The sequence below is a fragment of the Homo sapiens genome, chromosome 3 (genome assembly GCF_000001405.40).
Source record: "Homo sapiens chromosome 3, GRCh38.p14 Primary Assembly".
NCBI classification, from domain to species: domain Eukaryota; kingdom Metazoa; phylum Chordata; class Mammalia; order Primates; family Hominidae; genus Homo; species Homo sapiens.
The window spans coordinates 124,562,061-124,580,901 of NC_000003.12; the positions used below are offsets into that span (position 1 = coordinate 124,562,061).

The window sequence follows — 18,841 nt, forward strand, 5'->3', positions numbered from 1 at the left end:
ACAAGCCAGCATGGAGCATGAGGGCTGGGCGTATGCTCCTAAGTAAGAAGTGGCCCGTCTTCCCTTCTGATTCTTCCTCCTGGTCCCCAGTGCCTGAGCCTTTGAGGCTATTCCCCTCCCAGACAGACATTGCTTTACTTCTGCCTTTGAATTGAAGCCCCATTCTTTTTGTAGTCCTCGTAGCCTCGATTTTAGGCTGATGGCTCCAGTAAGGGGTGGGGATGGGAGGTGTTGCAGGGGTTAGAAGGAAGGAAGGCTGTCTCTTCCATTATTCCCTATCATCTAGTGAGAATCTAATGGGAGGGGTGAGTTAGAATAGATGCCCATACAATAGGAGTCTGAGGGTGGTAGTCAGGGCAGGGACAGGGCACAGGGTAGAACCCTTGGAAGGAGTAAAGGGGCATATAGGGAAGGGGTTTAACGGCACAATTAGCTGAAGCTTGGCAAAGGAATAATGAGCTCTAACGAAGTAAGAGGAATTAGAATCAAAGCCCTGGTTCTGGGCAGGCTTCAGACTGTGGCTACAGCTAGAAAGCCTGAGTGATTGAATAGCACTGTGCTAATTACATTTTTTTCTTGTTTTCTTTCCTGTTCTCAACTCTCCTTTTCATCTTCTGCCATCTCTCTGCCCTAAACACCATTTTTCCTCTTTATTCCCCTTCTCTTCCTCCTTACCTCTGCTCTCACACATCCTTCGTCCCCTCTCACCAACCCTCTCCCATATTTCTCCCCCCTTCCTCCATGCCCTCCTGTTCTACTCCCTCCACCACCACCCTCCAAAGCTCTCTGGTGGATGTGAGCTGACAGTGGTCCTCCAGGACTTCAGTGCGGGCCACAGCAGTGAGCTGACCATCCAGGTGGGGCAGACGGTAGAGCTGCTGGAGCGGCCCAGCGAGCGGCCTGGTTGGTGTCTGGTCCGTACCACCGAACGGAGCCCGCCCTTGGAGGGTCTGGTCCCCAGCAGCGCCCTGTGCATCTCACACTCCCGAAGCAGCGTGGAGATGGACTGCTTCTTCCCCTTGGTGAAAGGTAGGAGAACAGAGCGGGTGGGAGGCACAGACCAAGGAGGCCATGAGCGCTGGCCTGACTCTAGCTGAAGACCACCATGGAAGTGACCTGTCTCACAGACCCATTTTTACCCTGTGGGGTTTCTTTGGGACCTGACTGTGAAGAGAATGGGTTGGGAACTTGGAGAGGAAGAGCTCCCGAGTAACTGTGTGTGACTTTGGGAAAGTCATTTAGCCTTCCTGAGTCAGTTTCATCTTGGAAATGAAGGTTGAATTAAGTAACCTCCAAGATCTCTTCCAGTTTTCCCATCATATCACACTACATTCGGGAAAGTCCTCTTCTACCTTTGGCCAAATATGGTTTAGACTCATCCTTTCTCCACTGACCCACTCCCGCTCCACAGCAACTTCTGGCTCTCTGACCCCCGACCAAGTACTCACATGCTGACCTGGAGACACCAGGCACACCCAGGGAGGAGCCACAGCTGAGTCAGATCTGATCCTTCCCTCAGCCCAGCCAGGCTTTGAGGTCCATGACTCCTTTATGTGCCTTCAACAGATAAAGTATTCTAGCCTTGGCTTTTATTGTATGTAAGCTCTGTGTTCCCTTCACATGCCTGTTTACTCACTTTTTCTCATGCCAGGGAGACTAAACTCCTCATGACAGTGTTTCTTTAGGGGTGGTCTCTGGATTAGTAATATCAGCATGCCCTGGGAACCTGTTAGAAATGCAGGTGCCAGCCTGGGCAACTTAGTGAGACCCTGTCTCTACAAAAATTTAAAAATGCAAGGCGGCACATACCTGTAGTCCCAGCTACTTGGGAGGCTGAGGCAGGAGAATCACTTGAACCCGAGAGGCTGAGGTTGCCATGAGGCTGCAGCAAGCCAAGATTGTGCCACTGCACTCCAGCCTGGGCAACAGAGCGAGACTCTGTCTCAAAAAAAAAAAAAAAAAAATTAAAAAAATTAGCTGGGCAAAATACAAAAATTAGCCGGGCATGGTGGCGCACGCCTGTAGTCCCAGCTACTCGGGAGGCTGAGGCAGGAGAATGGCGTGAACCCGGGAGGCGGAGCTTGCAGTGAGTCGAGATCGCGCCACCGCACTCCAGCCTGGGCGACAGAGCGAAACTCCGTCTCAAAAAAAAAAAAAAAAAAAAAAAAAAATTAGCTGGGCAAGGTGGTGTTCACTTGTAGTTCCAACTACTCAGGGCATGGTGAGGCAGGAGGATCACTTGAGCCCAGGAGTTTGAGGCTGCAGTGAGCTATGATTGCATCGCTGCGCTCCAACCTGGCTGACAGAGAAAGACCGCACCTCTAAAAATAAAAAATCAAAGTTAAAAGCCAGGTACAGTGGCTCACACCTGTAATCCCAACACTTTGGGAGGCTGGCTTGAGGCTAGGAGTTTGAGACCAGACTGGGCAACATAGTGAGACCCCCATCTCTACAAAACTAAAAAATTTTAGCCAGGCATGGTGGCACACACCCATAGTTCCAGCTACTCAGTGGGGGGCTGGGGCAGGAGGATCATTTGAGCCTGGGAAGACAAGATTACAGTAAACCATGCTTGCACCACTGCACTCCAGACTGGGTGACAGAGCAAGGTCCTGCCTCAAAAAGTGTTTTTAAATTTAATTTTAAAAAAGAAAGAAACGCAAATGATCAGAACCCCCACTCCTCCAGAGCCGGTGGGTCCCAACAGTCTGTATTTTAACAAGCCTTCCAGGTGGCTCTGATGCACATTTGAGTTTGAGATCCACTGACTTGTGAAGTCCAAGTGGCAGAGGCCTTGCAGCCAAGCATTTTACACTGAGGAAGCCAAAGCCAGGCCTTAGTTCTGGGCTTATTTTTGTAACTGGCCAGATAATCAGCAGCAGGCATGCCTTCTATGCAGACCTGTGCTAGATATTTCTAGGAGAGGAAGATGGGGACGAGGGTCAGCATGGAGACCTGCTGCAGGCTTCCTGATGGTTAACTGTGAACTCAGAACATATTTAAAACACTCCGGTGTCTGGAGTGCCATCTGGTCTACCTCCAAAGCCTGACTTCCTTTCCTCCACTAGATGGCAGCAGCAGGCTGAATTGTTTGTGCTGCATCCAGCCTTCCAGGGTTTTTTCCACCAGGAGAAAAATGTCAGCTAAGACCGACGTCCTAATTCTCCTCGTGCCCTCCACTCCCAATTTAATCATTGCCTGCTTTCCCCCCTGTCCTCTGAGGACTAAGGAGGGACTGTGTCAGGAAGTTGTGTGGGAATTTGAAATTGCAGGCACAAGAGGAAAATCAAGGAAACTCAGGAATCTGGTTCCGCTTGAAGTCTAGCCAAGAGGAGAAGAGGGTACACAGAAGGTAGATTGTGAGGGTAAAATGAGGTAATGGAGACAAAACACAGCAGTGCCTGGCATTCAATGCACTTTAGTTGTCATGATAAGTTTTTGCTATTATATCATTTGCCATAGATTATCCAGCAAAATAACTACACACTCCCACAAGTCCAGTTGAGAGACCCATCTGCAGAGACAAAATCAAGCACAGCAATTCATTTGCCGCAAAAGGCTAACGTTCCTTGGATCCCCAGGTGTGGGTCGTTTTCATCAGGAGGGACTCAGCTTCAAGGGAAGATGAGACTTCCTGACCTAGACCTGGCCTCCTAGCCTGAGGCTGGGTAAAATGTGCACTCCCTCCCTGCTGGGGCTGCCACATGTGCAACTTCGCAGGAGCAAACCCAAGGTGGAAAGCCAGAGAGCAGTGTCAGAGTCAATCTGTGATCCCGAAGTGGGAGGTGGAAGCATTCAGGGTAAGAATTGCACAGGACTGGGGGTTGTCTCGACTATAGGACAGATTAGTGGAGATTTAACTAAAAATAGGAGATGAAGACCAGGAATGGAAAATAGAGGCAAGAGACAAAGCTGGGAGGGAGGCTGTCATAGAACTTTCCAGCTAATTCTGCCAACCAGCATAGCTTCTTAAAGGTACCAGCAGTGCCTATCACCCATTTCTTTGGCTTTTTATTTCCAGGTTGGTTCCTGTTTCCCCAAGCTTAGGCCAATTATGCTGAGCTTTCAAATGGCATCCTGTGAGGTCTTACTATCTTCTCACCCATGTGAGCTCTGAATACAGAGGTCCCCGACTCCCAACAGTCAAGGACCTAAGTCGGCCAGGCGCAGTGGCTCACTCCTGTAATCCCAGCACTTTGGGAGGCTGAAGCAGGTGGATTGCTCAGGCTCAGGCGTTCGAGACCAGCCTGGGCAACATGGCGAAACCCTGTCTCTACAAAAAAAATTTAAAAATTAGCCAGGTGGGGTGGTGTGCACCTATATAGTCCCAGCTACTCAGGAGGCTGAGGTGGGAGGATCACCTGACCCTGGGAGGCTGAGGCTGCAGTGAGCCATGATCATACCACTGTGCTCCAGCCTGGGTTGCAGAGTGAAACCCTGTCTCAAAAAAAAAAAAAAAGGACCTAAGTCTGCATTCTCCATGGAGCACTCCTTATGCCCTTAACTAGACCCCATTTGAAAGTGTGTGCAGTTATGCACATAGCCCAGCCTCAAAACCCTTTCCCTGTCTCTCTGGGGTCTGCCCAGAGTGTTGGCCTTAGCTAAGACCCAATAAGCTATTCCTTCTCTTATTCCAGCTGGCTGCCTGCTTGGCAAACCGCCTTTTCTTCTCTCAGCAGTAATTTGTCTCCAGTGGGTGCTTTACCTTATAAGTTATGCACAACTAGATTGAGAATAAAATGTTCCTCTGGGGGTTGTGGAATAGGACAGAGTGGTCTCATCTGGTGTCAGGAGGTTGGAATCAATTCCTTTTTCAATTCCCATAAGAGAACTGGTCCTCTTAGCATTTGCAGAGAGCACCAAGTCAGCACTCTTGCAGGCTGTGTGAAGCAGGGACTATGTGTGAGGGCTAAGCACCTTGTGAGTGCTCAGGCCATGACTATCACCCCAGAAATGGGGACAAAAGAACCACAGGATGGTTCTTGATGATCCACTAGCACAGGGTTCCCAACGCTGGCTGCACATGAGAATCATCTGGGAGCTTTTCCAAATGACAATGCCCAGACCCCACCTAGAACAAATGGAATCAGAATCTCTGGATGGGGCCTGAGGGTCAGTATTTTTAAGTGTTCCATAGGTGAATCTAAGGTGCAGTCAGGGTTGAGAACCACTGCACTAGCCCGGTCTCCTCTCTTCCAAGAGAACACTCAGGCTCAGGAAAGCAAGGTGACCTCCCTGAAGCCACAGGGAGTCTGTGGCCAAGCTGGAGCAGACCAGGGCTCCCAGCACCTGTTGAGCTTCTGGGTAGTGCTAGGGCTCCTCTCTGCCCTTCCCTCCTCTGCCTTCTGTGGGAGCAGTGGTTGGTTATTTCCTCCTGATAAGTCTTGGTGTCATTCATGATGGGGTTGGTGAAAAAGAGTGGGGCTGTGTGTCAGAATTGGGGTGGGGCTGCCTTTCCTGCTACTTTACTGCCACTCTGACATCTTAGGGCTTCTCACTGGGATTGGGCCCTCCAGCCCTAGTCCTGCCTTTCCACAGGCCCCTCTCACTTTCACAGCAGCAGGTGGTGGAGGGCAGCACCTCCCAAGAGGCAAGCCTTTGTAGCAGTGGTTTCCAACTCTGGATGCACCTTAGAAACCACCTGGAGGAGGTTTCTAAAAATACTGATGCCTCATATCCACCCCAGAACAATTAATCCAGCTGCCAAGGACCTGGACATCAGTATATTTTTAAGTTCTTTTGTGAAAAAAATAAAAAGAAAAAAATTAGCCGGGCATAGTGGCATGCACCTGTAGTCCCAGCTATTCAGGAGGCTGAGATGGGAGGATTGCTTGAGCCTGAGGGTTCAGGGCTATAGTGAGCTGTGTTCACGCCACTGCACTCCAGCCTGGGCAAAAGAGTGAGACTCTATCTCAGGGGGAAAAAAAAAGAAGAAGAACAAACTTAGTGATTCTGATGTTCCCTTAGGGTTGAGAACCACTGCTTTGTGGACTCAGCACCCCCAGGGTGTCAAGCTTAGGAGATACTTAAAGATGTATTAGAAAGGTTGAGGGTTAATGTCCAGATTATATAAAGAACTCCTGCAACTCAACAACAACAACCAAAAACTAAATTTAAAAATGGACAAAGGACTTAAACAGAAATTTCTCCAAAGAAGATATACAAGTGACCAATAAGTACATGAAAAGATATTCAACATCACTAATTATTGCTAGGAAAATGATAATCAAAACAACAATAACATGTCACTGCAAAGGATGGCTATTGTTTAAAATGTGCACACACAGAAAATAACAAGTGTTATGAGGATGTGGAGAAATTGGAACCCTTGTACACTGCTGGTGGGAATGCAAAATGGTACAGCTGCCATGGAAAACAGTATGGGATTCCTCAAAAAAGTAAAAATAAGATTATCATATCATCTAGCAATCCAACATCTGAGTATATATCCAAAGGAATTGAAAGCAAGGACACAAGCAGAAATTTGTACACCCATGCTCATAGCAGCATTATTCACAATAGTCAAAAGGTGAAAGCAACCCCAGTGTCCAGCAACAGGTGAATTGAATATATACATACAATGGGATACTCTTCAGCCTTAGAAAGTTAGGAAATTCTAACACATGCCACAACATGAATGAACCTTGAGGACATTAGGATAAGTGAAACAAGCCAGACACAAAAGGACAAATACTATATGATTCCATTTAAATGAAATACCTTGAGTAGTCAACTTTTTAGATGTAGAAAGAATGATGATTGCCAGGGGCTGGAGGGAATGGGGAATTAGTGCCTGTTGGGTACAGAGTTTCAGTTTTGCAAGATGAAAAATGTTCTGGAGATGGATGGTGATGATGGTTGCATGACAATGTGAATGGACTTAATGCCACTGAACTGTACACTTAAAAATGGTGAGAATGGCTTTTAAAAAGTATTGGTCCTGGGTACTTCTGCCCCAGGCTCCAATAACCAGTCTAGGTTCTTCTGTACCTGGCTGTACAGGACACCTGTGTTCCTTTTCCTGTGCACTTTCTTCCCTGGCTGGGGCTGAGGGTCTGGAGAAGCTGTAAGGAAATACCTCTCTGCTTATGAAACCAAGTCCAAGGCTTCCCCCGTGAGCCTCAGAAGCAGATGCTCTAGAGGAGAGGGACAGTGGCCCATGGCACCCCTGGCTTGTTCATGAGGAGTCCTCTCCCTGAAGGCCTCCTGATGATTTCTGCTGTTACCACCTACTTGGCCTCAGGAACAGCTTCCCCATGCTGCAGAAGGTGGTGGAGAACCGTGGATAAAACTTGGGCTCTGAAGGCAATTACCATCAACAGCCTGAGAATGCCGGGCAAGTTTGATAATGTCGACTTGTGTTAAGTGTGTCACCAACTCACAAAAATACCTAACATTTATTGAGCTTTACCATGGGTCAGGTTCTGGGTTGCTTTATGCTAATAGCAATAATATTTTCCTCATCTTACAGATAAAGACACTGAGTCTTAAAAAGATTAGGTAATATGCTCAAAGTCACATAGCTGACAAGCAGTGGGCCTAAATTTGAACCCACGCCTGTCCATTTCCCAAGGTCTCACTTTACCACTGTGTTCTACACCCTCCCAAGTCTGAAAGCCTTTGAGACAGGCACTTTAGTTTATTCTCCCATCTGACTTGGCTTGTTAGCCAGTCTAGCTGAATCTAAGAGCATTAACCCCATTATAGTTACACATACCCACCTTCCCACTCTCCCTCTCACCTCTGGCCCCAAATGCCCCACTCTCTAGGAGGAGTGGTAGTAATCAGAGACAGATTTTGTCCTGTGGGTGCTTTGCCAACTAATAAGATTCTGATGTCCTCAGCTGGAGCAGAATGACTCCAAGGAGCACTCTGGACAGCAGGCTGAGCTTAGTCCAACTCTGATAGCGGCCTGCCAACCCCTGGTGCTGGCCCAGCCTGTTCAACAGATTGTCTGCAGGATGGAAGTCCCCTGCACTTTCTGCTGCCAGGAGCCAAAATGCCAAAAAGTTCAGGCTCCTCTGCCTACCAGGAGAGTCCTCCAAAGGTCTTTCTCTACCTCTTACTTTTCAGTATAATTCTGCATTAGGAGCCCTACCCTCAGGTTTTTCATTTATGCCATAATGCCTAACATGGCTTCACTATGGGAGGCTAAAAAAATAATTAGAGGATGAATATTCCCTAAACATTTCCTTTCAGGTACGAAGTGACATGTTATAAATTGCAGCTTGCTGATTTACTTTATCCTACAGTCCTCAATTGCAGGATTGAAGTACGATCCTTCAATCCTCTTCATTTGTATAGGATTGTACTGGTAATTGACTAGATGTGAGGTAGTCCTTTGAGATTCAGAACTCACTTCCTCATAGAAGCAGAAGTATACATGGGAGTATGATCAATGAGGGTGAGAACAGGTTTCCACACTAGCCCACAACATTTTCCTTTATATTAGCATAGCTGAATTACCCTATGTTTGCAATGAAAAGGTGTGGTATGGTGTTTTTAAAAATTATAATACTGTTGGGTAAGAATAGCTGAAACCCAAAAATAATGCATTTGAATAAGAAATGTTGTAATTTATTTGAGTACTGATACTTTTTGAAGAAAAGTATGTTTAAAGATAGATGGAGAGAGTCTAAAAGGAGCTCCTTGACATTTTTCAGAATCATAAAAAGTTAGAGTTGAAACTTACTCTTTTTATAACTGGATAAAACCGGTTCTTGAATAGATTTAATTTGACTCCAGAACATTGGCTTCTTTTGGCTCCTGGGATCTTAGAATTGAAAAGCAGGTGAAAGGTGTTCTAGCTCACTCTCTTTCCAAATACAAGAAACCCCTTCCACAATGTCCTTGACAAGTGGTCAGCTAAGCATTACTTGAGCACTTCTAGGGACTGGGAGCTTATTACTTCTAGAGCCTGTTGGATTTTAGTGTAATTCTAAGGGCTAGAATATTCCTCATATATTGCACTGAAATCCAAACACTTTCTACCCACGTCTCCTTCTATTCTCCCCCGTCCGAGCCCCGAGTGTAAATCCACCAGTGCTAATTATTATTCTCCCTCTCCTTCTGATCTGTATCTAGAAGAAAGTAATACAATTTGCAGATAAAATGTTAAACACTTCTTTCCTAAGCTATATAAGCCTAGCAATTTCTCCATAAATCCTTTTATTAAACGCTTAGAGCAGAACAAAATGTTTTTAATTAAATTCAACAATCCTGACTTGTTTAAAGTGATTGTTTGTGTTTATGGATTAATAGTCCTTTCCAATGTCCTTGGATTTGAGAACTTCACAGTCCATCCTTACCCTTGAACTTTGGGCATCCCCTGGTTTCTCACTCACAGACACCTGATCTGTTGTCCTCTCTGGGCATAGAGCTTAGAGGCAAGTGCCTTCTACTCTGAGACTCTCTATAGGCTGGACTTTTTTCCTGGTTATTCCCTACAGTCATTCATATTGCTATTTGTTCTAAAGTAGCATTTTTATTACCTTTTATTCATGTCTTCCTGAATTACCTCTAGGATCCTTTCCACTTCTAAAAATGTCTGTTTTTTTCTCTCTGCATCAGGTAATTACCTTTGTTAATTTAAAGGGATTAACCAAAGTATCCTGTGTTTATTTTATTTTTTTTCTATTTTTTATTTTGGAGACAGGGCCTCACTCTGTTGCCCAGGCTGGAGTGCAGTGGCAAATAGCTGGGACCACAGGTGCTTGCCACCATCCCTAGCTAATTTTTGTATTTTTTTGTAGAGATGAGGTTTCGCCATGTTGCCCAGGCTGGTCTCGAACTCCTGAGCTCAAGCAATCTGCCTGCCTTGGCCTACCAAAGTGCTGGGATTACAGGTGTGAGCCACTGCACCCAGCCAAAGTATCCTATTTTTGATGCATATAAGCATAGCATAAATATCTTCATTTTGAGGTCCAATTTTTTAATTTGGGGTGCATGAAATCTCCATTTTTGTAGTAAAAAATGGTTGAGACTGGGTGCAGTGGCTCACATCTTTAACCCCAGCACTTTGGGAGGCCAAGGCAGATGGATCACTTGAGCTCAGGAGTTCTAGACCAGACTGGGCAACATGGTGAAACCCCATCTCTACCAAAAATACAAAAAATTAGCTGGGCATGGTGGCATGCACCTGTGGTCCCAGCTGCTGGGGGTGGAGGTGGGGGAAGGGCTGCAGTGGGAAGGGAGGTGGAGGTTGCAGTGAGCCTAGATTGTGCCACTGCACTCCAGTCTGGGTGACAAAGCAAGACCCCATCTCAAAAAAAAACAAAAAACAAAAAACAAAAAAAAAAACAGGTTGAATGTCAGCAATTTCAGTTAAAAATGGCCCAACCTAATGTATTGTAATCTACTGTTTTTTTTCCTTAAAAGGGTACTGGCAAATCTTTGAAAACGGAACAGAATTTAGTTCTCAGGGAATCAGATGGGGTGGGAAGAAGACAGGGTATGAAATGAGAAGCCACTTATTTTGAGTAGAATGTCACCTAATCTTCCTGGGTTTAGCTTCCACATTTATGCAAAAGGAAGCTGATAAAGATGCCTATGTAACAGAGTTGCTGGGAGGCTCAAGGGTAGAAATGTTAAGTAAAAGTGATTTTTAAACTGTGAGGTTGGTTTTATTATTATGTGCACAGGCTGATTGTTTAGGATAAAACAAAAGTTGTCTGTGGCTTTACCTCGGTATGCAGTAGACTATAAAAACATGGTCTGTCTGTAATCCCAACACTTTCAGAGGTTGAGGCAGGAGAACCTCTTGAGCCCAGGAGTTCCAGACCAGCCTGGGCAACAGAGCGAGACCCCGTCTCTAGGAAAAATTTTTAAAAAGCCGGGCATGGTGGTGAGTGCCTATAGCCTCAGCTACTTGGAGGGTTGAGGTAAGAGGATCACTTGAGCCCAGGAGGTCGAGCCTGCAGTGAGCTGCCATTGAGCCATTGCACTCCAGCCTGGGCGGCAGAGCGAGACCCTGTCTCCAAAAAAATGTCTTGGGGTGGAAGGCCTGAGTCTGAATCCTGGTCACTGGCTAGATGATGACCTTGGGTAAGACACTTAAAATCTATGAAATAAGCCGGATGTGATCATACACCTGTGGTCCTAGCTGTCTGGGACGTGAGAGAGGATGGCTTGAGTTCATTGCTGCAGTGAGCTATGATTGCACAACTGCACTCCAGCCTAGGCAATGGAGCAAGACTCCATTTCTAAAAATTCTAACTTTAAAAAATCTGTGAAATTGATTAATAGCACTTAAACTCCAACAAGGTAGACTTTGCAGTCCAGTTATGCCCCACCAAAGGTGGTCAGTTAATGTGAAGTTCCCTGCCTGCTCTTTGTCTAAGTTCTGATACTTCTATAGGGCTGAGTACAGGGTGTTTCCAGCCTGAATCATCCCCAGGATTGTTCAAGGGGTCAGGGTTCTCTTTCTAGTTTCCATTGGTTTTCTTTTTTCTTTTTTTTACCAGACAGGGTCTCACTCTATTACCCAGGCTGGAGTTCAGTGGCATGATCAGGCCTCACTGCAGCCTTGACCTCCCAGGTTCAAGTGATCCTTCTGCCTCAGCAACCCCCAAGTAGCTGGGACTACAAGTGCGAGCCATTGTGCCTCCATAGGTTTTCAGAGGCCCCAGCACAACCTCCTGTCTGCACTGGCTCCCTTCCCTCAGTCTCTATTCCTAACCTACCCTGGGTCCTTTCTACAGTCCACCAACAGCAGGTCCATCTGGCTCCGTGATTTCCCAAGAAATAATGGCTTAATCCTCTCATAACTTTCTTTTGACTTTAACCCAGAGGATTGAGATAATATTTGATATATTTGAGCTAAAAATTCAAGTTTTTCCTTGGCTTGTACCTCTGGCACCTCTCCATGACCTATTCTCTGTCATTAATTCTGTGGTACTTGAAGGTAACATTTGGACCACATTATGGAGATGGGCTGACCTGTGTGATGGGGGTTGTGCTGACACTGTGAGTGTTGGGTGTATATGAGGGGACCACTCTTTAATTCAAAGAAGAGCAGGACAGAGAGGAGTTTCGTGGAAACTGCCTCAGGCCTGCTTTGTTCTGGTTGAGATGTCCTGCCTGTGGCTACATCCATCTAATACTATTTAGGACATGAAAGGGCTTAGAATCAAAGCCTCAAATAGGAACATGTCAGGGCAAGCCACATCCTTCTCTAAATACAACTCAGTGTCGTGCTGTCTCCAAGTAGAACTGAAGCAGGAAGACCCAGGTGTCCATGGAAAGAGCTGGTCTCTCTGGGTCCCTCTGCAGAGATCCTGCATTTTTCCCTTTTGTAGCCAGCCTGCTGTGACTTTGCTTATGTTAAATGCCAATTTCAACAGCATGTTTTCATGCCTGCTGGTGCCCACTGTAAATCTGTGACATCTACATGATGATGATGCCCCTTATCATCCAGAGGGGAAGTCAGGGGCAAACTTGAATATGCTCTTTGGAGCCAATGAACCAGCTGATGGAGCTCAGAGCTAAAATGAGAGCCTCAGGATTTGATCCCAGAGAAGAAAGGCTGCCACTGACTGCTTTCTGAGAAGAAGCTGGAGATGATAGAGAGGAGGTTACCCCAGCAAACAGAATGTTCCCCCAGAGGAAAGATGGTGCAGTTTTCTTGCTTACAGCTAGCTAAGCTGAACACTTTCCCCCTAGAAGAACACGGGGACCCAGGAATGACATGCACTGAATGTGACTTGAGGAAAAGAGAAGGCAAGGCAATGGTCTGGACAATCTTGGGATGTGCCCATCCTGTCTGCTCAGGGAAGGGCAGAGATGGGAGGACCTCAAAGGCCTTGAGGAGCAGCCCTTGCAGGCCACAGCTCTAGGAGCTCTCAGCAACAGGATTCTGCAGGACAGAGCAGTCAGCACCCTCCTCTCACCGCCACACTGCCTTCCCTGTCTCACTTGCTCCTTGAGAACAACTCCTCACCGAGGATCTATGTGGGGGTGAAACTGCAGCCTTAACCCAAACCCTGCAAACAAGCATGAGAAGTCTTTCCATTTACTACTAATTGCCATTCTGAATACCAGCCCTCTGCCCTATGGGCAGTTACTGAACAGCCTGCCCCTTTCTTTGCCCTTGTGGTAGGACTGGGTTGTCTTGTTTTCTCCCCGTATCCACTAACCCCAGCCAGAATCTTGATTCTCAGATTGTGCCCACTTGCCTTACTTTCCACATGGGCCTCTAGGCCACAGGAAGTCTGGCTCCTCACCTTTGTACACAGGAGGGCGAACAGATAATTGCCCCGTTGCTTGCCCCCAGCTGCAGGGAGGTGGCCCAGGCTGAAGACCCATCTCAGTTCAGAATGTTCCAGTGTCTCCTGTCTCATTTCCAGTAAAACGAAGTCCTTTCTGTGACTGCAAAGAGGCTCCACAAAACCTGTTCTGGAGCCTATTCTCTGACTTCATCTCCTATGTATTCATTTCCTGTTGCTGCTGTAACAAATTACCATGAACATGGTGGCTTCAAACAACAACACAAACTCATTATCGTACAGTTCTGTGGGTTGGAAATGCAACATGAGTCCCCATGGGCTAAAATCACAGTTTCAGCAATCAGGGCCACATTCCTTTTTGTAGGCTGTTAGGGAAAAGCTATTTCTTGCCTCTTCCAGCTTCCAGAGACCACCACACTTTCTCCATCTTCAAAGCCAGCAATGTTGCATCTTTCTGATCCTCCTTCCATGGTAATGTTTCCCCTGGGCCACAGTGGGAAAGGTTCTCTGCTTTTAAGAACACCCACCATTACACTGTCCTCACCAGAATGATCCAGCATAATCCCCTTGCCTCGAGGTCCCTAACAGAATCACATTTGCACAGTCTCTTTTGCCATATAAGGTAACATATTTATAGGTTCTGGAGAGGAGGATGTGGACATCTTTGGCGGACGTTATTCTGTCTACCATTCACCTGACCAGCCTGCCTCACTGAGCCATTACCAATCAAGCCATGCATACGCTCACCTCAGGGCCTGATCTTTTGTTCCCTCTGCTTGGAACACACCAGATACCCCAGATCCTCAGAGACTTGGATGTCTTGCTGTCACACTTCCTTCTGCTTGAATGTCACCTGATTAGAGAGGTCTTCCCTAACTCCCACCCTCTCCCATCACAGTGTATACTCCCTTCTCTGTTTTACTTTTCTTCATTGCATTTATCACTACCTGACATATTTGTTAATATTCCTCTGCAAATCCCCCCTACCAATACAGGGATTTTGTCTACTGTGTTCATTGCCCTATCCCCAGCATCTAAAACAGTAGCTGCCATGTAAGAAGTTCTCAGTAAATATTTATAGAAAGGAGGGACGGATCATGCATCAGGGACCTCTGCAGAGTTCTTATGTGAAGGACCAGGCTCAGCATGTAGAACGGTAAAGGAAACTGGCTTAAGCTTTAGCAGGAGGACTTCAGGATGGGAATGGGGAATCATGTTCTGATGCTAGGAGTCCTGATTGAGGAAGTCTTCTCTGGGGACGTATGGGTTAAGTACCTCTCATTTATTTGGACTGGTTGAAGGATGAGCAGGTCATTATCCACATTCCATTATTGGCAGATGTACATCCTTTCTATTATTGGAAATCCTCAATAAACTCACCTGAGTTACATCAAGACAAAATCCACTTTCCATTTGACTCATCAGAAACCTCTGCACTGTACTCCGTGAATGTACATGCTGCTGCAGCTGCTATTTGTGCCTGTAGGAGGGAAGGTGGCGTTGGCAGAATTAAAATGCCATCCCACATAGTGGACACTTAGCAATCATAAGTTTACCTTAATTGAAACTCAGAGTGATAGACTGGCACTCTTATACTGCCCTACTTTGGGAACACTTTGACCTACTTAGAGGTAAACGTTTTTGGAAGTAGATAAAACCTGGAGTGGTTTGTTTTTAGCAATTCCAGCTGCAGCCATCTTTCACTTTGATAAATAGCTCATCTGCCCCTGAGCTCAGGCCAGCTCAGGCGGCTGCTCAGTACAGATATCCAGGAACCTGTCCTTGTTGCCAGCAGTTCTTCCTCTCTGTCCTCACAGAAGAGGAATGTTGGCCATTCTGGGGAGACATCTGTGTCCTCTCAGTATGGCCTGAACCACCCCCCTACCTTGAACCTGGTTCAGACAAGACAGTGATCAGTAATACTTCCTGGAAAAAAAAAAAAGAGGGTGGCTGCAGGCTGAGCTGGGGCCTCTCTTAAGGATAAGTGAGACAGCTAGAAAGAGGCAAACAGGTGTCAATTGGGCAAGTACAGAGGAACACATTTAAAGGTCAGTAGGTGAAGACATATGGACTGAGCTCAGTAATGGTTCAGTCATTAGAGTCCAGGAGCTGTCTGTCACCAAGTGGATGATGGTACCCACAGGGCCAGCAGTGGTGCAGTGGTTAGACCACACTAAACAGAGATAAGAAGGAGAAGAGATTACTATGCGTGATTCTGGCAAGCACACTTTTTCTGTACACCTTACTGTTAAAATAACGCATATTACCTGGGAATGGTTACCCACACAGATATTATACACTTTTGAAAAAAAACATATTTGGGCTGGACACAGTGGGTCATGCCTGTAGTCTCAGCACTTTGGGAGGCTGAGGTAGGATGATTGCTTGAGGCCAAGAGTTCAAGACCAGCCTGGGCAATGTAGTGAGACCCCATCTCTATAGGCAGGTGTGGTGATGCATGCCTGTAGTCCCAGCTACTTGAGAGACTGAGGTGGGAGCCCATGATTTTGAGGTTACAGTGAGCTCTGATTATGCCACTGCACTTCAGCCTGGATGACAGAGCAAGACCCTACCTCCAAAACAAAACAAACAAACAAACAAACAAACAAAACCCCCCACCATATTTGGAGTTCAAATTAAATATAGAAGCAATGTACACATTGTACCTCCTCTCTCTAATTGAAGTGTTTCTGGTTACTGATGACTATTGTCTCAATTCCTCTTTTTCACATAAAGAAGAAACCCCAACCTTATGTCCAGTACTATTCTGTTTCCATTTCTTTTTTCTTCCACAGAAAATTAAACCAACTTCTGCTAGAATTCACCCTGTTCTTCTTTGTCTTTTCTCATGGAACAGGCCTTATTTAATTTACATTTTCCTTATAAACTCCCATGTATAGGTTAGCTTAGTGACTTACAAATAGTAAATATTCCAAGACCAATTATTTGTTGAATAAATGATTAGTACTTGGAAAGAATCTTAGATGTTTAGGCCACAGCCACAAATGGAGGCCAGGGCTTGGTAATTTGGGAATATTGATTAGCCATCCCGATATCAGCAATCAGGCAGTTCATAGATCAGAAATCTACACAGGGAAGATGAGAATTAAGGAACCTGCAGTTAGCAACCAGGGAGCATGGCAGGCAGTGGAAGAATGGGTCAAGGGACCGATTGTCAGAGTTTGAGAAAGTAAAACCATTTGTGTTCAAGTGTTTCCTAAACTCTACAATGCAGGAACTCATCCACAGTGTGAGTGGCCTTGGGCCCTAAAGTCCGTGGTTCTCAGCCATGACTTCACATTGAAATCCTCTGCAGAGCTTTTTAAAACCCATAGATTGGCCGGGCTTGGTGACGCTTGCCTGTAGTCCCAGGTACTCGGGAGGCTGAGGCAGGAGAATCACTTGAACCTGGGAGGTGGAGATTGCAGTGAGCCAAGATGTGCCCCTGCACTCCAGCCTGGGTGACAGAGTGAAACTCCATTTAAAAAAAAAAAAAAACCTATAGAATCCAAATATGGGGGTGAGTGCTACAGGTGAGAATCACCCCTGTGGGGAAAGGAGAGCAAGGGAATGGTTGGAGTGGAGTTAAGGAGATCAGGGCCTGGCCTCTGCACTCACCAGGAACCATGATCACGGCTCACCAAGCCTATGCTCTATAAAAGGTCACAGTAAGAAGGGTCTCCTATGAATCTCTAGGCCTGAATTGGGGCATGGTTGCTGTTCCTTCTTTCTCTATCCTGAGCTTTAAGAAATGTGGGGAAATGATTGTGATTTAGTAAAATTCTTTTCCTGTCCATCTGAAGAGAATAACCCTAAAGGAAAAAAAAATGGCATATGTCTGTTAGTGTAAGAGACAGGTACCTGAGGTCATGGTCCAGTGTTACTGAAGACTGTGGTTAATGTGGAGGGAGAGGCAGTCACACTGGTGCCTGATGTCAGGCCTGACATTGTGGTACACCTGGCCTACTACATCTGCAGGCTGATACCAGAAATTCTTTGGGGTTCACTGTTGTTGGAAATGAGGGTGGGACATAAAGTGGTCACGTAGGTAGGCAGAAAGCCTTATTCATGTAAAATGGACTTAGGCTGCAGGTATCACTGAAGACAAAGTCTGCCAAAAATATAAATGAGACTCAGCCATCTAGTTGAAAAGTAAGACTACTTTAAATATATTGCTTATAGCTCAGGAGCTTTTAGCCTGAACTTTGGGAGTGGGTGGGTAGGTATGTGAAAACCCTGAAATAATAGACATTCAACTGGCTTACACAAAAAGGAATGTATAAGCGAGGGGCGGGCACAAGTAAGGTCCAGGAATAAAGCTTTAGGAAGAAGCCTCTCTAGCTATTCAAATGATATCATGGGAAACCTACCTCTCTCTCTCATCTTTTCCCTGTATTGGCTTCATTCTCGGAGAGCTTCTTCCCACATTGTTATAGCAAAATACCCCCAGCTGCTTTAGGCTAACATTCCATCAACTTAGAAATCTTGTTGAAAGGGATGGCTGTTTTCTCAGATGTTCTTGCTAAGATCACAAGGTTTATGCTCATTGCATAAACTCGAGTCATGTGCTAAATCTGAACCAATCCCTGTGGCTGCCTGGCCACACCCAGGTCATGGGCTTATCTTTGGAGTAGAGGGTGGACAAGGGGAAGATGTCAGCCACACCCAGAAACATGGTCTCCAAAGGGAGGAAGGCTGGTTCCTCAAAGACAAGTCAAGGTGCTGTTACAAAAAGAAGAGGGCACAAATGCCAAATGGGCAAGGACAATGTCCGAATCTCGAGTAGGTCTCCATGTGTTTCTGTACCAACAACATCAGCATCACCTGGGAACTCATAGCAATGCAAATTCTCAGGCCCCACCCCAGACCTACTAAATCAGCAGCTCTGGGAATGGAGCCTAATAATCTGTGTTTTAACACACCCTCCAGGTGATTCTGATGTATACTTGAGTTTGAGAACCACCGCACTGCACCAGTGGTTTTCAAACTATGCTGCGTATTACAGACACCTGGGGAACTTTTAAAATACTTGCGCCCAGTTGCACCCAAAGTCAATTGATCTAAATCTCAGGGTGTGTGTGGGGGTGGGTGGGGAGGGGGGACTCAGGCAGCAATGGCCTCAGACTTGGTTCCACCTCAGAGCCTAAAAAATGCTAATGCCTAATATTTTTAAATGCTTCCCTCCTGATTCTTATCAGCACCAATGTTTTAAAATCATATTCTCCACCATCCCTTCTAAATTGTCTTGAGAATATTAACTTAAAACATCTGGATGCAGGCTGGAGAATCTAGGCATCTATTAACCCTCTCAACTAATAAACCTGGTCACATATCTGATGTGGATTCACTTTTCTCTCACATTCATGATGAGTCTGTCCTAGTAGCTAGCTTCAGAAGGACTGAAATTGTTTTTGTTCACCAATGTAGACCCAGTACCTAGAACAGAGCCTGACACAGAGTAGGCACTCAGTAAGTATTTGATGAATTAACGAGTAGGTCCACAAACAGTTAGTGTCCCCATGTTGTTTGAGATTTCCTTGATGGCCAGGTGTGGTGGCTCACACCTGTAATCCCAGCACTTTGGGAGGCCGAGGGGGGCAGATCGCTTGAGCCCAGGA

The 18,841-nt window shown here is 46.0% G+C and overlaps 1 protein-coding gene and 1 long non-coding RNA gene across 27 annotated transcripts in view, besides 3 other annotated features; one reads left to right on the top strand and one right to left on the bottom strand.

Annotated features, from left to right (window-relative positions):
• KALRN (kalirin RhoGEF kinase) overlaps positions 1 to 18,841 on the top strand; it is a 692,957-nt gene that overhangs the window by 528,692 nt on the left and 145,424 nt on the right. For all 24 annotated transcript variants that reach the window (XM_006713810.4, XM_017007429.2, XM_011513279.3 and 21 more), the window contains one exon: positions 783 to 1,029. In XM_006713810.4, coding sequence (XP_006713873.1) covers positions 783 to 1,029 — 247 coding nt within the window. The remainder of the gene's footprint in view (positions 1 to 782; positions 1,030 to 18,841) is intronic.
• Positions 1 to 18,841, bottom strand: part of LOC105374076 (uncharacterized) — a 39,318-nt gene that overhangs the window by 16,819 nt on the left and 3,658 nt on the right. For all 3 annotated transcript variants that reach the window (XR_001740872.2, XR_007096040.1, XR_007096041.1), the window contains exon 2: positions 14,604 to 14,703. This is a non-coding gene — a long non-coding RNA (uncharacterized LOC105374076). The remainder of the gene's footprint in view (positions 1 to 14,603; positions 14,704 to 18,841) is intronic.
• Positions 2,882 to 3,176: an enhancer, noted in NCBI's record as "tiled region #5497; HepG2 Activating non-DNase unmatched - State 8:EnhW". NCBI's record gives its function as "activates a minimal TATA promoter and a strong SV40 promoter by Sharpr-MPRA in HepG2 cells {active_cell/tissue: HepG2}" and the evidence as "EXISTENCE:reporter gene assay evidence [ECO:0000049][PMID:27701403]".
• Positions 2,882 to 3,176: a silencer, noted in NCBI's record as "tiled region #5497; K562 Repressive DNase matched - State 12:CtcfO". NCBI's record gives its function as "represses a minimal TATA promoter and a strong SV40 promoter by Sharpr-MPRA in K562 cells {active_cell/tissue: K562}" and the evidence as "EXISTENCE:reporter gene assay evidence [ECO:0000049][PMID:27701403]".
• Positions 15,639 to 15,928: an enhancer, noted in NCBI's record as "active region_20396". NCBI's record gives its function as "activates an Ori minimal core promoter by ATAC-STARR-seq in GM12878 lymphoblastoid cells {active_cell/tissue: GM12878}" and the evidence as "EXISTENCE:reporter gene assay evidence [ECO:0000049][PMID:35858748]".